General features: G+C 47.3%; 2 protein-coding genes across 6 annotated transcripts in view, besides 5 other annotated features; both read left to right on the top strand.

Moving 5' to 3' along the window:
• GNB5 (G protein subunit beta 5) overlaps positions 1-9364 on the top strand; it is a 76293-nt gene extending 66929 nt beyond the window's left edge. For all 4 annotated transcript variants that reach the window (NM_016194.4, NM_006578.4, NM_001379343.1 and 1 more), the window contains one exon: positions 1696-9364. In NM_016194.4, the coding sequence (NP_057278.2) occupies positions 1696-1707 (12 nt within the window). In that variant the 3' untranslated portion in view covers positions 1708-9364. The remainder of the gene's footprint in view (positions 1-1695) is intronic.
• Positions 11683-11842: a silencer, noted in NCBI's record as "silent region_6444". NCBI's record gives its function as "represses an Ori minimal core promoter by ATAC-STARR-seq in GM12878 lymphoblastoid cells {active_cell/tissue: GM12878}" and the evidence as "EXISTENCE:reporter gene assay evidence [ECO:0000049][PMID:35858748]".
• Positions 11689-15201, top strand: BCL2L10 (BCL2 like 10). 2 transcript variants are annotated; one of them, NM_020396.4, is made up of 2 exons: positions 11689-12226; positions 14491-15201. In NM_020396.4, exons 1-2 carry the CDS (start codon positions 11738-11740, stop codon positions 14614-14616), a joined length of 615 nt encoding a protein of 204 aa, NP_065129.1. In that variant the 5' UTR covers positions 11689-11737; the 3' UTR covers positions 14617-15201. The 2 variants fall into 2 exon arrangements, with proteins under 2 accessions (NP_065129.1, NP_001293097.1); NM_001306168.1 differs by having other exon boundaries at positions 11689-12296.
• Positions 14011-14080: an enhancer, noted in NCBI's record as "active region_9422". NCBI's record gives its function as "activates an Ori minimal core promoter by ATAC-STARR-seq in GM12878 lymphoblastoid cells {active_cell/tissue: GM12878}" and the evidence as "EXISTENCE:reporter gene assay evidence [ECO:0000049][PMID:35858748]".
• Positions 14971-15020: an enhancer, noted in NCBI's record as "active region_9421". NCBI's record gives its function as "activates an Ori minimal core promoter by ATAC-STARR-seq in GM12878 lymphoblastoid cells {active_cell/tissue: GM12878}" and the evidence as "EXISTENCE:reporter gene assay evidence [ECO:0000049][PMID:35858748]".
• Positions 19672-19741: an enhancer, noted in NCBI's record as "active region_9420". NCBI's record gives its function as "activates an Ori minimal core promoter by ATAC-STARR-seq in GM12878 lymphoblastoid cells {active_cell/tissue: GM12878}" and the evidence as "EXISTENCE:reporter gene assay evidence [ECO:0000049][PMID:35858748]".
• Positions 19762-19881: an enhancer, noted in NCBI's record as "active region_9419". NCBI's record gives its function as "activates an Ori minimal core promoter by ATAC-STARR-seq in GM12878 lymphoblastoid cells {active_cell/tissue: GM12878}" and the evidence as "EXISTENCE:reporter gene assay evidence [ECO:0000049][PMID:35858748]".

The following is a 20426-nucleotide window of genomic DNA, read 5'->3' as shown; positions in this document are numbered from 1 at the left end:
ATGGTTTTCTGTTTTCCTGTGTGTGAGAGGAGAGAGGACTGGTGACAGGCCTTCTGAAGCAGAGGGAAGGCTATCAGAGTAAGCTCAGGTGGGCCTGGTCAGCCTCGCCGAGCTCTCATTTCCACTCTGCCCACAGCCACAGAGGGAATGGGTTGCCTGGAGAGGTAGCGAGTGCTGCATCAGTGCAGGTATTCTCGCACAGATTCGACAACTGCGTATCAGCCTGTAGGTGAGGGAATAGTTAGGCTTGATCATCCAGAAAGTTCCTTTTGACCCTAAAAGTCTGATTCTTGTGATTCTAGCCTTTGGCAAACCACAGATAACCAGTCTCTCCTCCTATAGTATAGGGTTCTTATTACGATTATTGACCTTGTGATGACAAGGGTCACAAATCCAGGAGGCTGTGAAGCCCCTGAAATTATTACTTTTTTCTTCCTTTTTTTTTTTTTTTTTTTTTTGGTTTTTCTATAGCTTAATCTTGGAAATGAAGCCCCTGAAATTATATGCCAAATTTGGGGTGTATGCCTTTTGTCCTCGTGGCTTTCATTAAATTCTCAAAGAGAGCTCCATAACCTTGTTGAGTGTTGGCTCACCCAAAATACTACCAAAATAGCCTGTTTAAGCTGGGCATGGTGGCTTATGCCTGTAATTGTAGCACTTTGGGAGGCCAAGTCAGGCGGATCACTTGAGGTCAGGAGTTCCAGACCAGCCTGGGCAACATGGTGAAACCCTGTCTCTACTAAAAATACAAAAATCAGCCAGGCGTGGTGGCATGCACCTGTAGTCCCGGCTACTCGGGAGGCTGAGGCTGGAGAATCGCTTGAACCCAGGAGGCAGAGGTTGCAGTGAGCCAAGATCATCCCACTGCACTCCAGGCTGGGCAACAGAGCAAGACTCTGTCTCAAAAAAAAAAAAAAAAAGTAGCCCATTCATAGAGCAAAGCTAAATTTATTGCTTACCTCAGTGTGGAACATCAAGAATTGGTAGAGGTGTAGTGGCATCTCAGAAGAGGATGACAAAGGCATGCATGAGGTTTTTTTGGTCTGGTTTAAGGCAGGTCTTTGTTGGGGGGCACTTAATTAGGATTGGACAACTTTGTGGCATAATAGTTTTAGGATTGCTGGATGCAGGGGTGGGGGAGGGTTTCGAACAAACCCTTTAAAACTAAATAGTCATTTGATGCTCTATATTGTCCTGAGACATGGGTGTGTTTTCTAAAGAGGGTAAGTTGAGTAGTCTAGTGTTAGGATAGAGAAAAGGATTTTTGCAAAATTCCTGAAACAAATAAAAAAGTTATCTGTGAGTTCATCTTCCTGGGTAAGAGTGTCCTAAGTGAGTAGTCATGTTAATGTATATGGTGAGCTGTATGGGTTCAAATGGTTTTGGTTGTCAATCTGGAAGAGTAGCTAGGCCCGTAAGGAGGCTGCAGATGCCCCACAGACAATTAACTAAGGGAGGAGAAGATCAGGTCCAAAGAAGCACCTTTGCATTGCTAGGAGTACAGTGTTATCCTTCTAAGGCACATGAGCACCCTATTTTGGATGGAGTGTGTATGTTTGTGTGTGTGTGTGTGTACACACACATATATGTATGCCCATGCATGTGTGTGAATAGACTAATTTTATCTCTTTAAGCTCAAGTTTTATAAGTTGTTAACTACAAAGGTCTAAAAACTATCTGTTTGTGTCTTCACAGGTCTGGGCCTAATCATCTTCTGACAGTGCACTCATGTATACCTGAGAATTTGAAATCTTCACATGTAAATAGATATTACTTCTAGAGGAGCTTAGAGTTTATTGCAGTGTAGCTTAGGGGAGCAACCCATGGCTCACAGGTCACTAAGCGTCTCCAATATGACTATTAAAACTGTCACCTCTGGAAATACACTAGTGTGAGCCTTCAGCACTGCGAGAATACCTTCAAGTACAGTATTTTTCTTTTGGAACACTTTTTAAAATGTATCTGTTTTTAAGGTTATTCTAAATTATAGTAGCCTCAACTCATTCTGTCACCAGTAGAATTCAGCAGTTAATATATTCCATATTATTTCTTTGAATCAATTCATTTTCAGAGCACTTTAAAGTCTGATATTTCTCGATGTGCACTGTGATGCCTGGAACCTTCCTCTGGAAGTGCTGATTTTATGGACTGAGGACTGGTGACTGGTCTGTGATAGAAGCAAATTCCAATTCCAAATGTAATTAGACAAAAATCATTTTTTTAGAATGTGTTTTTATTGTAAAAGTATCTTTTTCAGCTTCCTGTTCTATTGTCTTTTTTCAGATACAACATTTTTGTCTATGGTGAACTGCTGTAAATGACGCAGAGAAATGCCTAAAAAGGACAGGTGGTTTGACTCATGGATGATGATGATGTCACTGTGCCACTTGGACAGGGCGTTTTCTCTGAATTGAAGGGAAAGCCAATGGTGTTTGTAAACAAATGCTTCTGAGAGCAAAGAAAAGTCTTCTGTGTGGGAACACAAGATAGTAAACTTATTTAAAAACCTATTAGTAGAATTAGTGGAAACACTTAGGTTAAAGTGAATCTTGTCCATATAAATTATATTCATGGCCGGGCGCGGTGGCTCACGCTTGTAATCCCAGCACTTTGGGAGGCCGAGGCGGGCGGATCACGAGGTCAGGAGTTCGAGACCACGGTGAAACCCTGTCTCTACTAAAAAATACAAAAAATTAGCCGGGCGTGGTGGCGGGCGCCTGTAGTCCCAGCTACTCGGAGAGGCTGAGGCAGGAGAATGGCGTGAACCCGGGAGGTGGAGCTTGCAGTGAGCCGAGGTCGAGCCACTGCAGCCTGGGTGACAAAGCGAGACTCCGTCTCAAAAAAAAAAAAAAATTATATTCATATGTATTGCATTGCAATTATAATTACATATGCAGATTGATTGATAGTCATGAATAATAACGTCTGCTCCTCTTACATAGAAAAACGATATTAAAAGAAGATCTTCTCTTTATTTGAGACTCAGAATTCCTTCTAGAAGAAGGAAGTGCTTTTTGTTATAGGATCCCTTCTTTTCCTTTTTTTGTTTTTTTGTAAGATGTAGATGCTTATTCTTTGCTTTAGAAAACTTCTCACTTAAAAAGATGGCATGCACCTAGGGGAATAAAAGGTCACCTCAGACACCAGGTGTCATTCCTGGTGAGGCCTGCCTCGTCGGTGGCCTGGGGTCTGCCGGCAGGTTCTGGCTGCACCTGAAGGCTGCGTGCACCTTGTCCCCTGGACAGGTCTCCTTTCCTGGCCCTGCTCCAGCCCAGCCCTTCTTCTAGTGGTAGCTCTGGCTTTGCAGGCCCAGCTCCAGGCCCTGCTCCTCAGAGAGACTCTTCCAGAGCTGGAGCTGGGCACAGCCATAAGACAGGACTGGACCAGATGCTCCTGTAAACATCCAGGGGTGTGCCAGGCCCACCCTCACAACTGCTTGTTCAGGTATCGTGATGGGCCACTCGGTCCAAAATCAGCCAGGCCATCTTTTCCATCATCTCACTTCAAATAAACATAATAATTATATTTGATCATTTGCAGAGCAGTTACTGGTGGTTTTATTGTACACTGGGGTCTGGGGTAGAGAGAGAAAAATGAAGGGCCTCTGCCTTCCTCCAGGGAGCCCAGAGAGAGTGCTTTTTAGTCCCAGTAGATTCCAGTCTGGGCAGGGGCTCAGGAAATGGGCCCAGTGTCTGGCCAGCTCCTGCCAGGTGCTGAAGGGGTCAGGGCACCATGGGATTCCTGAGCTCTGCTCCAGAATGTCCCACAGTGGCCCCTGGTGCAGCTGGCCTCCTTGTGGTGGCATCCCCAACCCTCTCTCCCACAGCCATTTTTTTTTTTGTCTCTGCACTGTGCCTTCCGGCTCCCAGAAGTGCAGGAAGGCACGAGAAAGGAAGGAAAGGTGGCCCAGGGAAGCACATTCCAGGTTCCATGTTTGGAGAGGTGGAGAGCATCTTCAGGATATGTGCAAAGTAGACTGTGACTTTCCAATCCAAAAAGCCACTTTAAGGGCCCAGGGAAAGTATTCCAGAGAATGCTTCCACTCCCCGCATGGGCAGGAAGCCTCCTTCGCTGTGAGCATGCGCTCTCGCAGTGGGTGCTGTCGGGATTTGCTGATGAGATACTTGATTTGGACTATGTGACAGCATGTGGAGACTCAGGGGTAAGCTCCATGGGATAGATTGTATTTTGCAGATTGAAAATAATGCTGAGTGCATTTTATAATCAGCTTTTCTTTTTTCCAGAGGACTTGGGGATAAACCTACCAAACCAATTGTGGTGAAGGGGCCAAACAGATGGGCCCCCAGGGGTGTAGAGCCTTGGGCAGCCCCCTCCTGGGCCAGAAAAAAGAAAGTTCAGGCAGAAAGGTGTGGGTGATGGGTATTTATGGGAAATATCTGTGACATGAAGCCAAGTCCAGTGCTTTAGAATGCGCGGTCAGCCTCTCACCGGTGGGGCCCTGGCAGCCGTCCCTCTTCTCCCAGGCGAGCCAGAGGTGGGCATCCCGTTGCCACTGCCCTCTTCCCGCTCTTCTACCTCCTTTGCACCCTTCTCTAGGTTATAAGTGGCTTAAAACAGCACAGGGTTGTAAGGGCCTTTGTGTCCCGGGCTCTCATAGTTGCCAGGCCAGCTGGCTGAAAGGTGGCACCACCGATACTGGGACTCCTCTGTGAGTTAGAGGGATGCCTTGGTGACATAAGAGGGCTGGCCTTCATTCACACCCACCTCTGTCACGGTCACAGAATATATGATAATATCTGAGTTTTTCTCAGCCTCAGTTTCCCCATTTGTAACATGGGATGGGACTAAAATATGTAAAGTGCCTACCTCAGCCTTTAGCACATCTTCAGGAAGGGTTAGTTCCCAGCTTCTCCCTGTGTCCTCCTCAGTCCCCTTCCTATTTGCCCCCCTCCCTTCTCCCTCCACCTATCTTCCCTCTTTCTCTTCCCTTCCCCTCCTCCTCCCTCTCTCCTCCCTCTCTCCCATTTCCCCCTCCCTCCCTCCCATCTCCTCCTCCCTCCCTCCCATCTCCTCCTCCTCCCTCCCATCTCCTCCCTCCCATCTCCTCCTCCCTCCCATCTCCTCCTCCCTCCCATCTCCTCCTCCCTCCCATCTCCTCCTCCCTTCCTCCTGTCACCCCTCCTCCCTCCCTCTCATCACCTCCTCCCTCCCTCCCATCGCCTCCTCTCTCCTTCCTATCTCCTCTTTCCTCTTCTCTGCCCCCTCCCCCTCTCCTCATTCATCCGGACTCCTTTTTCTAACCCTTCTCAATCTTCCCCCATTCCTCATCTCCTCTTCCTCTGTCTCCCTGTTCCACCTCTCTCCTGGTCTCCTTCCTTCCCCTTCTGCTGTTTCTCCCTCCCTCCTCCTCCCTTCCCATTCCCCTTCCCCCAGCACTTCCTTTTCTCCCCATCTCCTCCCCATTCCCCTTCCCCCAGCTCTTTCTTTTCTCCCCATCTCCTCCCCATCCATAGGCAGCCCCCACTCATATAGCAAATTAGTAATTCTCATCAGTTAGAGCTTCGTCTGGGCTAGTGGTTCTCAAACTTTTTGGTCTTAGGATCTCTGTACACTTTTTTTTTTTTTTTTTTTTTACGTGGAGTTTTGCTCTTGTTGCCCAGGCTGGAGTGCAGTGGCGCGATCTCGGGCTCACTTCAACCTCCGCCTCCTGGGTTCAAGCGATTCTCCTGCCTCAGCCTCCCGAGTAGCTGGGATTACAAGGCATGCACCACCACGCCCGGCTAATTTTGTATTTTTAGTAGAGACCAGGTTTCTCCATGTTGGTCACACTGGTCTCGAACTCCCAACCTCAGGTGATCCTCCCACCTTGGCCTCCCAAAGTGCTGGGATTACAGGTGTAAGCCACCGTGCCCAGCCTACACCCTTAAAAGTTATTGAGGACCCCAAATAACTTGCTCATTGTGGATTGTATCTATCCATATTTATTGTATTAGAAATTAAGACTGAGAAAAAGTTATAAAACACAAGAATACAGATGCACACGTTCCATTAGCCATCAAGGTGATCTTTCTCCCATGCCAGTAGTCTCTGGAAAATTCCTGAGAGGATGAAAATAAAAAAATCACCCATACAAAAAAAAAAAGTGTCAATATTATTATGAAAATAGTTTTGACCGTGAGGACCCCCTGAAAGGGTCTCAGGGACCCTCGGGGGCCCTGGATCTTGCTTTGAGAACAGCTGATCTGGGCTAATGAGCCCTTTTCCAGCCCCTCTGTGTGAGACCTCCCAGAAACCACTAAGGGCCTTGGAAGAGCTTGGCAAAGAAAGAGGTGACAGGATGATTGAGGAGAGCCACCCTAGGGAAAGCCTTCAGAGGAGGCTTTGGGACAGCCCCGGTCGGTGGAGGAAGTCCCAGAGAGGCAGTCGGAAGGGCTAGGGACCAGCTGAGGCCTGTGACCTGAAAATCCTTTCAAAAGAGGACGCCTGGAAGCCTGGGGAAGGCACAGTGGGTGGGGTAGAAGACTGGGGCTGAGGCCCAGGCCATTCCCAAGCCTGGAAGAGCTGATTGAGTGGGGATTTGTAGATCTTCATTTCCCAAACTTGCCTGCTGAGAAGAATCGTCCCACCCATGGCAGGTTCCTGCACTGCGCCTTCAGGGCCCTGCCCTGAGATCTGGACTGGGCGGGCCTGAGGTGGGCCAGGAAATCTGAGCCGGAGGCCCACTGGGGAGGCCGCGAGTGAATCTTGTCTCTGTGGATCCTTTGTAAGGATTGCCATGCTAAACCACTTGCCCTCTCATCCGTGACCGGAGAGAATTGGGTCACTCTTCCAGACATACCACAGACTCCTGCTTCTAGACAGCACTTGGCTGGAGCCAGGCTGGCCTTCAGGGTTGGTCAGTCTCCACAGGGGACTCTGGCCTCCCGTGGGCTGCCACAGGGCCAACCCCAGTGAAAGAAATGAAATGACTGAATATGTTCATGTCATTAGAAAAAGGATGCAGCAGGGGGTGGGGAGGAGTTGGTTAATGGAATCAAATTTGCAGCAAGATAGGAGTCTAGTGTTTGGCGGCACTGTAGGGTGACTATCGCTAACAATAATTTACTGTGTATTTTCAAGTAGCTAGAAGAGAGAATTTTGAATGTTCCTGTCAACCTAAATAACAAAGACAGGCTCGCTAAAGATATTTAATCAAAAGTAGGGCATTGCAACAGGAATATGTGTGCTGTAGTAAACTGTGTGCATATTCCAGGAGGTAAAGAAAAACAAAGGTGACTGGGCGCGGTGGCTCACGCCTGTAATCCCAGCACTTTGGGAGGCCGAGGCGGGTGGATCACGAGGTCAGGAGATCGAGACCATCCTGGCTAACACGGTGAAACCCTGTCTGTACTAAAAAAAAATATATATATATATTAGCTGGGCGTGGTGGCAGGTGCCTGTAGTCCCAGCTGCTCGGGAGGCTGGGGCAGGAGAATGGCATGAACCCAGGAGGTAGAGCTTGCAGTGAGCCGAGATGGCACCACTGCACTCCAGCCTGGGCGACAGAGCGAGACTCTGACTCAAAAAAACAAAGAAAAAAAAAAAGAAAAACAAAGGTTTTTAAAGGAAAAAATGAGGAGGATTACATAATGGTTTTGAAATAATTATCCTTGGCTACAAATATCAATAACAAAGGTCACACCAGTCCGAGGTTGGACAGGCAGTTGCTAGGCAGATGTCTTTGCAGAAGTAATTTTTGTGTGAGGTTGCAGCAGCCTATGTGCAAGGTTGTAATTTTTGCAGAATCTTTTGTGATCATTTTTGGTATTAGGCATACAAGCATGAGAATCCCCTCTTCATGGCCTCCCCAGCTCTATTTGTCATGGTTTGTTTTTTTAAAACACTAGTGACTCTATTTGAATTCTAACAACTTTCACATTCCCAACACAAATGATAGACATTTAAGGGATTAATATGCTAATTACCCTGATCATTACACATTGTATACATGTATCAAAATAACACACTGTACCCCATAAATACATACAATTATGTGTCAATTAAAGATCATTATTTTTAAAAATAGGACCAGAAAAAAAGATGCAGACCCTCTAGTAAGGAGATGGGATCAGGAGTGATTCCATGGTTAATTTAACCCACATAAACAACTAATCGTAAGTATGGTATGAGCGTTTATGTAAAGACTGTGACAACAGGAAATGTCTGTCTTTGAACCCAAGGTTATCTAACCAGCACACCAATGGTGAAAGATTAACTTTGTCAGAAACCAGGAACCATGAAGCAGAGGTCACTGTTTCCAACCTGTGTGTTTTCCACGGTAATTGGCAGCCTCCCCAAGGGAAATTAAAACATATGTCCACACAGAAATTTGAATGCAAATGTTCATAGCAGCATTACTCATAATAGCCCAAAGCTGAAACAGCCCCAATGTTCCACAGTGGATGAATCGATGAACAAAATATGGCGCATCCACAGAATGGAATACAAAGAAAGAAAGCGTGGACACATGCTGCAACATGGATGAACCTTGAAAATATTGTGCCAGGGGAAAGAAACCAGAGACAAAGAGCCACATGTTGTAGGATTCCATGTATATGAAAGGTCCTAATAAGCAAACTCATAAAGACAAAAAGCAGATTGGTGGTCACTTAGGGCTAGGGTGAGGAGTGACGGTTAGTGGGCACTGAGTTTCTCCGGGGGGAACTGAATTAGATGGTGGTGATTGCACAATTCTGTGAATAGACTAAAAACCACTGGACTGTAAGAGGGTGAATTTTTTGGTATATGAATTACATCTCAATAAAGCTGTTACTTAAAACGTGGAAAAAATAATAAGCAGTCACTAGCTATTCTCAATAAAACAGAAACCACATAGGTAAGACCAATATTGTCACATTTTGGTTTTGGCTGATAATGGGGCAAGTGAGCATAGTCACCGTTGCCAGAGGATTTACCATTTACAAATAAAAGTTTCTGTGGAGTGACAACCTTTTACTGTGTGCCAGGTACTGTGCTAAGCACTTTGTATATACCGATTCATGTAATCCTTGTGACAGCCCCGTGATGCCCCATTTTTAGATGGGGAGATTGAGGTTAGGAGAGTTGAATAACTTGCCCATAGCTGCACAGCTTCCAAGTTGCAGAGACAGGATTTTCACCGAGTCTTATTACAAACTGCCTCATATTGTGTGGACTGGAAATTCTATGTTGAGGTTAATTTATTCATTTGTTGTTTAGTTCTTTTCATCATTGTTGAGTTACCAATGGCAGTTCCAGAGGATTTATCATTTACCCCAAAGCTACTGCAAATCTAAGAGAAAACAATGTTCTTGCTGCTAAAGTTTAATGTACAAAAAGGTAAAATCATGACTGTCTTGCAAATAAAACATGAACATGTATCCAAGCTTTTAACTCACTGATTAATAAGGAAACCAGTAAGACGTCAAAACCAGTTCAAATGGGAATTTGATGTACAGAAATTTATATTCTAACAACACTTATTTAGTTCACTGTAAGAAATCATTTGCTTTGGCAGATTAGGCACTCAGCAGAAGCACCAGCCAGCTCAGCCTTTGGAGGGAGAATTCCATGTTGTTGGACCCATACATATCCTCTGTCCCTGCTGCCAAGAGCTCTTTGTTCATCGGCCCGTTGAGCAGACACCACAGCAGCTGCATAGAGAGGCTGGCTGACAGCCACAGAGCATGTAATTCTGTCCATCTGATTCAGGGTCTTCTCTGCAGTGGATGCCCTTTGGTGGGCATTCAGGTGAGATGCAGATATCTTCAGTCTGCCCATTCGGAGGGATTCAGCCACATATCTCTTTCCAAGATTTTCTTGTCACCAATCTTCCAGTCCTGTTCTTTTTAAGGCCCTGACCATCCAGCTAAACCATCAGCGACTGTCCATGAATCAATTTAGGTCTGTATTCTGGCCATCTCTCACTCCAGACATAGTGGACAGCCTTGAGTTTCTGCTCACTGGAAGGATTCTCCTTCACCACTGCCCTTCACAGTCACCCCTGAGTGAGTGTGAGTGAATACTGCAGCTGTTCTCTTTCATGTGGTACCAGCACATCATACAGACCCATCTATAATCCAGGCTGGAGGTTTTTCTCCCTCAGTCAACTGGACATAGGCAGCATCCCAAGAAGCCATAGTTGTAGAATGAGGGAGAGGAGGCAAAGCAACAGGAGTTGATGTTGGAAGAGTCTGAGCCGCCTGCTCATACAATTTACTTATACCTTCTGAACCTGCCTGGGCTGTTTCTAATACACCATTTCCATTTGATGATAGGTGGCTGCTGTATACATCCAATTTTATGGCTACGTAGGTCAGATGACATCCAGTTCATGATGGGAGCTCAAGCTTCATGGTCAGGCATTCTGCCTCTATCAAGGCCTAGTAGCAAGGCAGAACCTGCTTCTCAGAAGGAGAGTAGTTATCTTCAGAAGAGGTTCTAGATTTACTTTAGAATTCTAGAGGTCTGTACTCTCTCCTGTCAGTGCTTGCCAGAGGCTCCATACAGCATCCCTGTTGGACAAAGTCCCACTGGATCTGTTGGATCACAAGACCCAAGTGGTAGGGCAGCTTTACTGCAGCCTGAACCTTCTGCAGAGTCTTCTCTTATTCTGCTCCTCAATCCACCAGCCTGTCAATTGGGTTGAAATAGCACAAACACAGTATATGTTGCCTTCAAAGTCCAAAATGGCTTACTGTTCCAGGCTGTGTCCCCCAAAATTCATATGTTGAAATCCTAACCCCCAGTGTGATGGTATTCAGAGATGGGGCCTTTGGGAGGTATTAGATCACAAAGGTGGAGCCCTCACGAATGAGATTATTGTCCTTATAAAAGAGACCCCGGAAAGCTACTCCACACCTACTGCAATGTGAGGACACAGCAAGAAGCCTGTTGTCTATGAACCAGGAAGCAGGTCCTTACAAGACACAGAACCTGCCAGGGCCTCAACCTTGGACTTTTTAGCCAACAAAACTGTGAGAAATAAATGCCTTTATTTATAAGTCACCCAGTCTATGGCATTCTGCTATAGCCGCCTGGACAGACTAAGACAGCTGCCAAGTGCCGTGCCTCTTTTGTAGTGATGCAAGATGCAGCAACTCATCTTTCACCCTGGGAGGGCTATTTCAACATGCTCCAGACCCCTGAACCCCCAGAAATACCACTGCTAGTATCCATTCTGCATCAGTCTGGATCCAATCAGGAGAAAGAAGCCACGGAGTAATATGAACTGAGAAAGTTTAATATAAATATTAGATGGCCGGGCGCGGTGGCTCACGCCTATAATCCCAGCACTTTGGGAGGCAGAGGCGGGCGGATCACGAGGTCAGGAGATCGAGACCATCCCGGCTAACACGGTGAAACCCCGTTTCCACTAAACAATCCAAAAAAATTAGCCAGGTATGGTGGCGGGCGCCTGTAGTCCCAGCTACTCGGGAGGCTGAGGCAGGAGAACGGTGTGAACCTGGGAGGCGGAGCTTGCAGTGAACCAAGATCGCGCCACTGGAGCTAAATAACCCGAGTCTCACAGTGCATCTGATTGCTACGCGAACACGTGCGCACCACCAGGCCTTGCCTTGGGGACTGGAACAGGTGCAGGTGGGATTCCCATCAAAGGCTCTTCTCTCAGTCCTGAAAAACAATATACCGGGGGCCGGGGGCCGGGGGCCGGGGCGGGGCACGGCAGCCCTACCCTGGGGGAGGCGCGGCCGGGCCAAGAAAACCAGCGAAGGCCCGGCCCCCCAGCAGAGGCCGGACCATGGTTGACCAGTTGCGGGAGCGCACCACCATGGCCGACCCGCTGCGGGAGCGCACCGAGCTGTTGCTGGCCGACTACCTGGGGTACTGCGCCCGGGAACCCGGCACCCCCGAGCCGGCGCCATCCACGCCCGAGGCCGCCGTGCTGCGCTCCGCGGCCGCCAGGTTACGGCAGATTCACCGGTCCTTTTTCTCCGCCTACCTCGGCTACCCCGGGAACCGCTTCGAGCTGGTGGCGCTGATGGCGGATTCCGTGCTCTCCGACAGCCCCGGCCCCACCTGGGGCAGAGTGGTGACGCTCGTGACCTTCGCAGGGACGCTGCTGGAGAGAGGGCCGCTGGTGACCGCCCGGTGGAAGAAGTGGGGCTTCCAGCCGCGGCTAAAGGAGCAGGAGGGCGACGTCGCCCGGGACTGCCAGCGCCTGGTGGCCTTGCTGAGCTCGCGGCTCATGGGGCAGCACCGCGCCTGGCTGCAGGCTCAGGGCGGCTGGGTGAGCACGCGGCGGACACCGGGACACGGGGCGGGACGGGCAGCCGGGAAGCGCCCACGAGGCTGGCACGGTGAGGAACCCACCGCGCCAGGCCCCTGGAACGAGGTTTCGTGAAAGCAGAAAGGCTCGTTTCAGCGGGCCTGGAACGTTCGCTGTGAAGTCTGGGGTTTCTCCTCCCCTGGCAGAAAGGCCGGCAGAAATCGGCCTTCTTAGACGGCCGTGAACCGTTCCGAAGCAGCTGCGCAGGCTTAGGTCTGCTCACTTGGACCTTGCCCTGGCCTTAGCCGTCGGGGACTTTTAGGGGGGCACCCACGTTAGGTCTGAACGTTTTGCTCCTATAGAAATCCCCAACCAATGAAGTCAGCAATGGCGGGGCCCCAGCCAGGTGGGGTGTTTTTCTCCTTCGCCTATTAAATGCGCCTTTGGAGAGACTCAGACCCATTGATCACAACCCCCTACGCCTCTCAGCCTGGCCAGAGAGGTTGTGGAGTGTGGTGGTCGCCCAGTGGTGGCGCTGACCCAAGGTTCCTTAATTTCTAGTCCTCTGCACCCAGTCCTCGGTGAGAACGTTCTAGGCCCCTGGCTTTCAGCTGCAAGCCTTCATCTCTGTGGTCAAGGTTAGAGGGACAGGCCCTTGCCCTGCAGCTGATGATCAAGGAAAGCCACCTGGTGATGAGCCCACTGCATGCCTCTGGGGGCTCTGAGCTAGACCCCATTTCTTTCCCCACCACCTTATTGGCGTTGATTCAATGACTGAAGTGGCCCATGTTATCGGATACCTATAGCCAAACTATTAAAACCAGCAAGTTTTTTGATCCGAAATGTAGCCTCCTGGGGGCAGTTTCCATTTAGACCTTTTTCTTTTTTTCTTTGAGGCGGAGTCTCGCTCTGTGGCCAGGCTGGAGTGCGGTGGTGGATCCCAGCTCACTGCAACCTCTGCCTCCCGGGTTCAAGGATTCTCCTGTCTCAGCCTCCGGAGTAGCTGGGACTACAGGCGCGCCCCACCAAGCCTGGCTAACTGTGTGTGTGTGTGTGTGTGTGTGTGTGTGTGTGTGTGTGTGTGTTTTCAGTAGAGATGGGCTTTCACCATGTTGGCCAAGATCTCGATCTCTTGATCTCGTGATCTGTCTACCTCAGCCTCCCAAAGTTCTGGGATTACAGACGTGAGCCACCTCACCTGGCCCCCATTTAGACTTTCTATAGTGACAAGTTGGGTTCTATCTGAGAAGGGAAAGGGAGTGGGAGGTGTGTTAGCAGGAACTCCTGCCTTGTTCATAATGTTAGTGTTGGTCTTCAACCCTCTGGGCCGGTGAACTCCCTTCAGCTGCGTGCCTAAGAGCCTCACCTGAGCCCTGTCTCAATACGGCATCTGGCCCCTCCGGGCTCTCTGTACCTGAAGAAGAGATTAGAATTGGAAAGGGGCCGTTGAAGCCTTTTTTTGTTGTTTTTGGCTAATCACTGTTGATGAAAGAATAATCTCTTAACACCAAGGAGCTGAAATTCTTGGCTGGGTGCAGTGGCTCGCACCTGTAATCCCAGCACTTTGGGAGGCCAAGGCAGGTGGATCACCTGAGGCCAGGAGTTCAAGACTAGCCTGACCAACATGGTGAAACCCCCTCTCTACTAAAAATACAAAATTAGCCAAGCACGGTGGCAGGTGCATGTAATCCCAGCTACTAGGGAGGCTGAGCCAGGAGAATCGCTTGAACCCAGGAGGTGGAGATTGCAGTGAGTTGAGATCTTGCCATTGCACTCCAGCCTGGGCACCAAGAGCGAAACTCTGTCTCAAAAAAAAAAGCTGAAATTCTCAAATTGGGTAAACATAGTTCACCCTTGTCTCTGCCCATTGCAGTTAAAATGCCACAGCCTGGAGTTCAATTCCCTTCCTAAATGGGGTTGGTGCTTGCTGTAGTGTCAGGTGATAACTTTTCAATCTAGTGACTTGACAGTTTCCCAAAAGGCATCTCTTCTTTGCTCAGAAAAGAGCATAATAAGCTACCTTCCTCTTGGTTTTGAGTCAAGATATGAGTGTTCCTGCACCAAGTGACAAAGTTAAATGCTTGCTTCTGTTCACTCTGTTAGACTTACCAATCCTCACTCCTCAGGGGCTCCTCATTACTGGATGTGTATTGGTCAGAATTTCCTTTCCTTTTACTTTTTAAATCCAAACTTTACTTTGCTGTTTAATCTGGAAGTTCCTGCGTGTTTTGAGTGAGGTTCTCAGCATCATGAGGCAATCTAACTTTTCTCTCTCCCCCCTGTAGGATGGCTTTTGTCACTTCTTCAGGACCCCCTTTCCACTGGCTTTTTGGAGAAAACAGCTGGTCCAGGCTTTTCTGTCATGCTTGTTAACAACAGCCTTCATTTATCTCTGGACACGATTATTATGAGTTTTAAAACTTTTAACCCGCTTCTACCTGCCCAACTGTGACCAACTAAATGACAGATGTGTGAGAACAAGAACTGAGGGAAAGCACCTTCCCCCACCCCAGACGTTTTTATCTGAATGCATACAAGGAGTCCTGAGGTGGTGATTTGGCCAGTGTTTTAACTTGTGACAAGTACTCAGGTGTGAGGACAAGAATGCAAATGGCTCTTCCTTGAGTGAAAGAAATGGGGAGTCTAGAGCCTCTTTATGCCAAAGAACCGCAGAAGAAACTGCATTCCATTAAATGGGAAATACAGTGCTATTTGCTAAAACTTGGATAAGAGTGCGAACCTCTCATCTCTCCACAACTTCATGTGCTGCTGACTAATTTTAAACATGGCCACAGCTGGGGCAAAATAATCCCCAAAGTAGAAAAAGTCCCAGTTTAACAAAGAATGTAATGTTAAAATCACTTATAAGGAATTCTTTGAAACCAAATCCTTTGAAATCTAATTCCTGGGACTTCTAGGTTTTTATAGTTAACATACTAATTTCTTCAATAATTGTTAACTGCAAAGTTTTAATAAATTTGTACCTTTAAAAAAAACTTAGTTGTCTTTCCTAATTCAATAAGCGTTCATTCTTAGGAGTAAGTAGAATTGATGACAATTTGTTTTTATTGTCTCCTTAAATATACATGTAACGGTGCTTGACTTTTTTTTTCCCCAACACTTAATGCACAAGCTCAAAGTCCCTCCTTCCTCTCCCCCTTCCATTCTGCAAACTGTCACCCACCTGCAAGGTGGTTGACAGCATGATTCCCTGCAGGCCTTCCCACTCATTATTATACTTGCATTTTATAAAACTTAACTGGACCTGCTCTTTTGGCTTAATCTTATGAGGTCTTTCTCTCCAGAACATGCAGCTCTGCCTTACTGTTTGGACTGTTGCAGTGCATTCTTATCACAGGATATGCTAATTTAATTACCTTTTCACCGCTGTGTATTTCAGGGTGTTTCTCCTTTGGGGGCTACTAGAAACATTGCATGGAATTTTTTGTGCATAGCCTTGCACACATATGATTACATTGGTAAAAGAATCCTAGAATGAGAATATAGAGAATCTAGTCCCAATGGATGTGTATTAAAATTTGGCTACTCCCAAGTTATTACTCAAAATAGGCTCGACCAGTCCAAACTTACATCAGGGCATGAGAGTGCTTAGTTCTTCACTCTTGGCAGTGTTGGAATTTTTTTTTTTTTTTAACTTGCTCTGTTGCCCAGGCTGGAGTGCAGTGGCAAGATCTCAGCTCACTGCAACCTCTGCCTCCCGGGTTCAAGTGATTCTTGTGCCTCAGTCTCCGGAGTAGTTGGGATTACAGATGCCGGCCGCCATGCCCAGCTAATTTTTGCATCTTTAGTAGAGATGGGGTTTCACCACGTTGGCCAAGCTGGTCTCAAACTCCTGACCTCAAGTGATCTGACCCCCTCAGCTTCCCAAAGAGCTGGAATTACAGGCGTGAGCCACCGTGCCTGGCTAGATCGTTCTAAATGTTTGCCTTTATGGCTTCAGGGTTTGGGGCCTTCTTGAGGAAGTTCCTTATTCCAAGAGTATAAAAAGTATACTATGTCCTTTGTCATGAATCCATTCTAAATTTCTTTTAGTGTAATATGAAGTAGGGCTCATTTCTTGAAGAGCTGGGGTAGATATTTCAGCATTATTCATTGACAGTCCTTTTTTCCCCTGCTGATTTGAGTACATGCTCTATTCTGTTCTATTATCTTTTCATCTACTAATAGCACTGTCTCAACTGCTATGTGTTCCCAGTACATTTGAATATCTGATGGGATAAGTATAATCCCTTTCCCTCTTGTTCAGAAAAATCCTTGGCTCTTTTAGTAGTGTAAGGTGAATTTTTAAAAAATCAGCTTATAAAAAATCCCTTCAGGGGCCCAGCTCAGTGGCCTGGAATCCCAGCACTTTGAGGGGCTGAGGCGGGCGGATCACTTGAGGTCAAGAGTTCAAGACCAGCCTGGCCAAAATGGCAGAACCCCATCTCTACTAAAAATACAAAAATTAGCCAGGCGTGATGGCATGCGCCTGTGATCCCAGCTACTCCAGAGGCTGAGGAAGGAGAATTGCTTGAACCTGGGAGGTGGAGGTTGCAGTGAGCCAAGATTGCACCACTGCACCCCAGCCTGGGCGACAGAGCAAGATTCCATCTCAAAGAATCCATTCAGGCCATGTGTGGTGGTTCACACCTATAATCCTAGCACTTTCGGAGTCCAAGGCAGTGGGATCACTTGAGCCCAGGAATTTGAGACCAGACTGGGCAACACAGTGAAACTGTCTTTAGAAAAAAAATTTTTTAATTAGCCAGTCTGGTCTGAAGAAAAAAACAGAATAAAGGAGGAACAAAAACCCAAAAGTTAGCCAGGCGCGGTGCACGCCTGTAGTCTCAGCTACTGAGGAGGCTAAGGCGGGAGAATTGTTTGAGGCCAGGAGTCTGAGGTTGCAGTGAGCCGAGATCACACCATGGCACTCCAGACTAGGTGACAGAATGAAAGTGGATCAATTTGGAAATATATAGTATCTTTACAGTATTGTGTTCCCTATTTTTGTTGTGTTGTTGTGTTTTGTTTTTTGAGACGGAGTTTCACCATGTTGCCCAGGCTGGTCTTGAGCTCCTGAGCTCAAGCGATCCACCTGCCTTGGCCTCCCAAAGTGCTGGAATTATAGGCATGAGCCACCACACCCGGCCTAATATTGCCTACCCTTCTAAGAACATAAACTCTTGCTCCATTTATTCAGGTCTCTTACGGTTTTCTCTGTATAGGTTCTATTTAGATGTTTTCCAGCTCTTTGGCTTCTGTCGTTATTGGGAATGGACTCTGTAGAGGATGTCTGCCTTCCCCAAAGCCATGTCCTCTTGTGATGACAGCTCAGTTTTCCTGTGGGAACCTACCCATCCTCTGTTCTTAGACCATGTGGCTCTGGTGGGGTTGACTCACTTCATTCCACCCAAGATAGGGACTATGACCCAGATCTGGCCTAGAGAGCCGACCCCTAAGCCAAGCTGGCAGGAGTCGATGTTAGAGTTCCTGTAAACACTATCAGGTGACACTTCTTTTCCACTGGAGTATGGAGGGAACCTGCCTGGGGGAGAACACCGCACAGGAGAGAGTCTAAAATTCGGAGGCGGGATGGGGTGTGGAGAAACAGTTCTGGTGACATTACTTAAATCTCACAATTTGGCTGTGCCTAAAGCTACTTGGGACTCAGATTTCCTTTTCTGCTTTGTTGTTGAAAGTGAAACTCAATTCAGTCCCAAATCCGATTATCAATTTTTCCCTATTACATTTATTATTCGGTTATGGATGCCATAAAAAGAAACTTAATGTAGATTCTAAACTGGCTATTTTGAATTACCATTAGTTCTGTTTCTTTTTCAACACAAACTTTCTTTTTCTTAGATAATTGCATAGGTTCATGAAGGGTAGTGATAACGTTCTCTATCTACCAGGAATTCCCTCAGTTGCTGGTCTATTGATGGCCACCTTTTCTTCTGGCATTCTTTTTTACTTTAGCATTTGAAGAGGAAGAAGACATGGAAGCCTGGCCCAGACCACAGTTCAACCTAGACTCCCTCTAGACATACATGGGTTTATCCTGCAGCAAGAACCCATCTCCTAACAGTGTGCTGAGCTGATGGCACAGTGGTGAGGCCTGCCAGGGTCAGGGAATGGTTTTGACTAGAATGGCTGCAAGAGGGAGTTATTTTTCTGATGTGATAATCACGTCATTGTTTTCTGGCGTGTGGATGCTTGTTCCACAAGCTAAATATTCTTGGCTCATAAGAGGAAGGATGATTAGCATGATGCAATGCTGATTGCTAGGACAATTTCAATTCTCTCAAGATACAGATTCTTACACCCTGAGATACCATTACCCATCAGCCTGGAAATCACAGGTCTGCCCACTTCAATAGCAGTTCTCAAGGGGTGGCAGTTGTGAAGTCTTGGAGACTTTTGGCCTGATACACGACCATTTGTCTACTTTGAAAACTTATCTTCTCTCAAGTTTTTCCTGCATTCCTGGCTTCTAGCACTTCCAGGTAAATGCTGTTTGCTTCACTCATTGTTTTTTTCCAGTTATACTTTCCCTATAACTTTGGAGTCCTTCTGGACCTGCCTCCCTCATCTCCCTGCTGTTTTTCCCCACCAGCACCTGATCATTCCCAGGACATATTCTTTTTCTTTGTTAATCAAAATGTCTTCCATCCTCCCTCTAGTATCCTCGGTGTTCAAATACTTACTAATGATCTTAGTAACGACCTTCGTTATCGTTAATGGCCCACAGGTGCACAAAATCACATTGATCATTAGTTCATAACATTCCTAATTGCTTTATGCATGCATGCTTTTTTAAAATTTTTATTTATTTATTTATTGAAATGGAGTCTCGCTCTGTCTCCCAAGCTGGCGTGCAGTGGCGCCATCTCAGCTCACTGCAACCTCCACCTCTCAGGTTCAAGTGATTCTCTCGCCTCAGCCTCCCGAGTAGCTGGGATTACAGGTGTGCACCCCCACGCCTGGCTCACTTTTTGTATTTTTAGTAGAGACAGGGTTTCACCATGTTGGCCAGGCTGGTCTCGAACTCCTGACCTCAGGTGATCCACCCACCTTGGCCTCCCAAAGTGCTGGGATTACAGGTGTGAGCCACCGTGCCCGGCTCAAGCTTCCCAATTTTAAGTCCTGTAATGGTGACCCCCAACTTTCAGATATAGTTCAAATTGCTGAAATTAATTCACCAGGGCCTATGTGATCAGCATTTTATTCAATTGTTTTTTCTTTATTCTAAAAAAAAAAAAAAAGGGTTACATGTGCAGACTGTGCAGGCTTGTTACATAGGTATACGTGTGCATGGTGGTTTGCTGCCCCTATTGACCCATCCTCTAAGTTTCCTCCCCTCAACTCTCACCCTTATTCAAATTTCTGGTCTTACATCCTGCTATGCACAAACCACCCCACCACACGCTGTGCCTTCTCCACCTCCAGGCTGGGAGGTGGAGGTTGCAGTGAGCCAAGATTGCACGACTGCACTCCAGCCTGGGCGACAGAGCAAGATTCCGTCTCTTCCCTGCTTCCATCTGCCCTTCTACCTACTGCATTAGTTTTGCAGCTGAATCCTGCTTGCTATTCAAGTCTTCTCTTCTAGAAGTCCCCTTGGGAGGACCCTGTCCTGCACAACATCCTGTACTGTGTGCTCATTCATGGCTCAGACTGTGGCTCTTGACTTGTCTCACCCTGTGTGAACCATAATGTCCTTGAGGGCAGGACTGTGTCCTACTTACAGCATTTGTATACCCAGTGCCTAGCAGTGTCTGGTATGGGATGGAGGAAGGGACCTATGGAAGGAATCTGAGCACCAGTACTGATTATACACTCCCAGGCTGGGTGAGGTGGCTTATGCCTGTAATCCTAGCACTTTGGGAGGCCGAGGCAGGAGGATCATTTGAGCCCCAGGGGTTTGATTGAGACTACCCTGGGCAACATAGTGAAACCCCATCTCTACCAAAAAAAAAGAAAAAGAAAAATTAGCTGGGTGGCCAGGCGTGGTGGTTCATGCCTATAATCCTAGCACTTTGGGAGGCCGAGCAAGATGGATCACTTGTGCTCAGGAATTTGAGACCAGCCTGGGCAACATGGTAAAACCCTATCTTTACAAAAATTCAAAAATTAGCTGGGCATGGTGGTGCATGACTGTGGTCCCAGCTACTTGGGAGGCTGAGGTGGGAGGATTGCTAGAGCTCAGGGAGTTGAGGCTGCACTG

This window comes from Homo sapiens, chromosome 15 (assembly GCF_000001405.40).
Source record: "Homo sapiens chromosome 15, GRCh38.p14 Primary Assembly".
NCBI lineage: Eukaryota > Metazoa > Chordata > Mammalia > Primates > Hominidae > Homo > Homo sapiens.
This window is presented reverse-complemented; position numbering and strand designations above follow the sequence as displayed.

Bases quoted from the DNA above. Each gene is read 5' to 3' on its own strand.
- BCL2L10 (NM_001306168.1), top strand. From the start codon at position 11,738: ATGGTTGACCAGTTGCGGGAGCGCACCACCATGGCCGACCCGCTGCGG. The intron at 12,297-14,490 runs GTGAGGAACCCA...TCCCCCCTGTAG, and splicing joins GCGCCCACGAGGCTGGCACG to GATGGCTTTTGTCACTTCTT.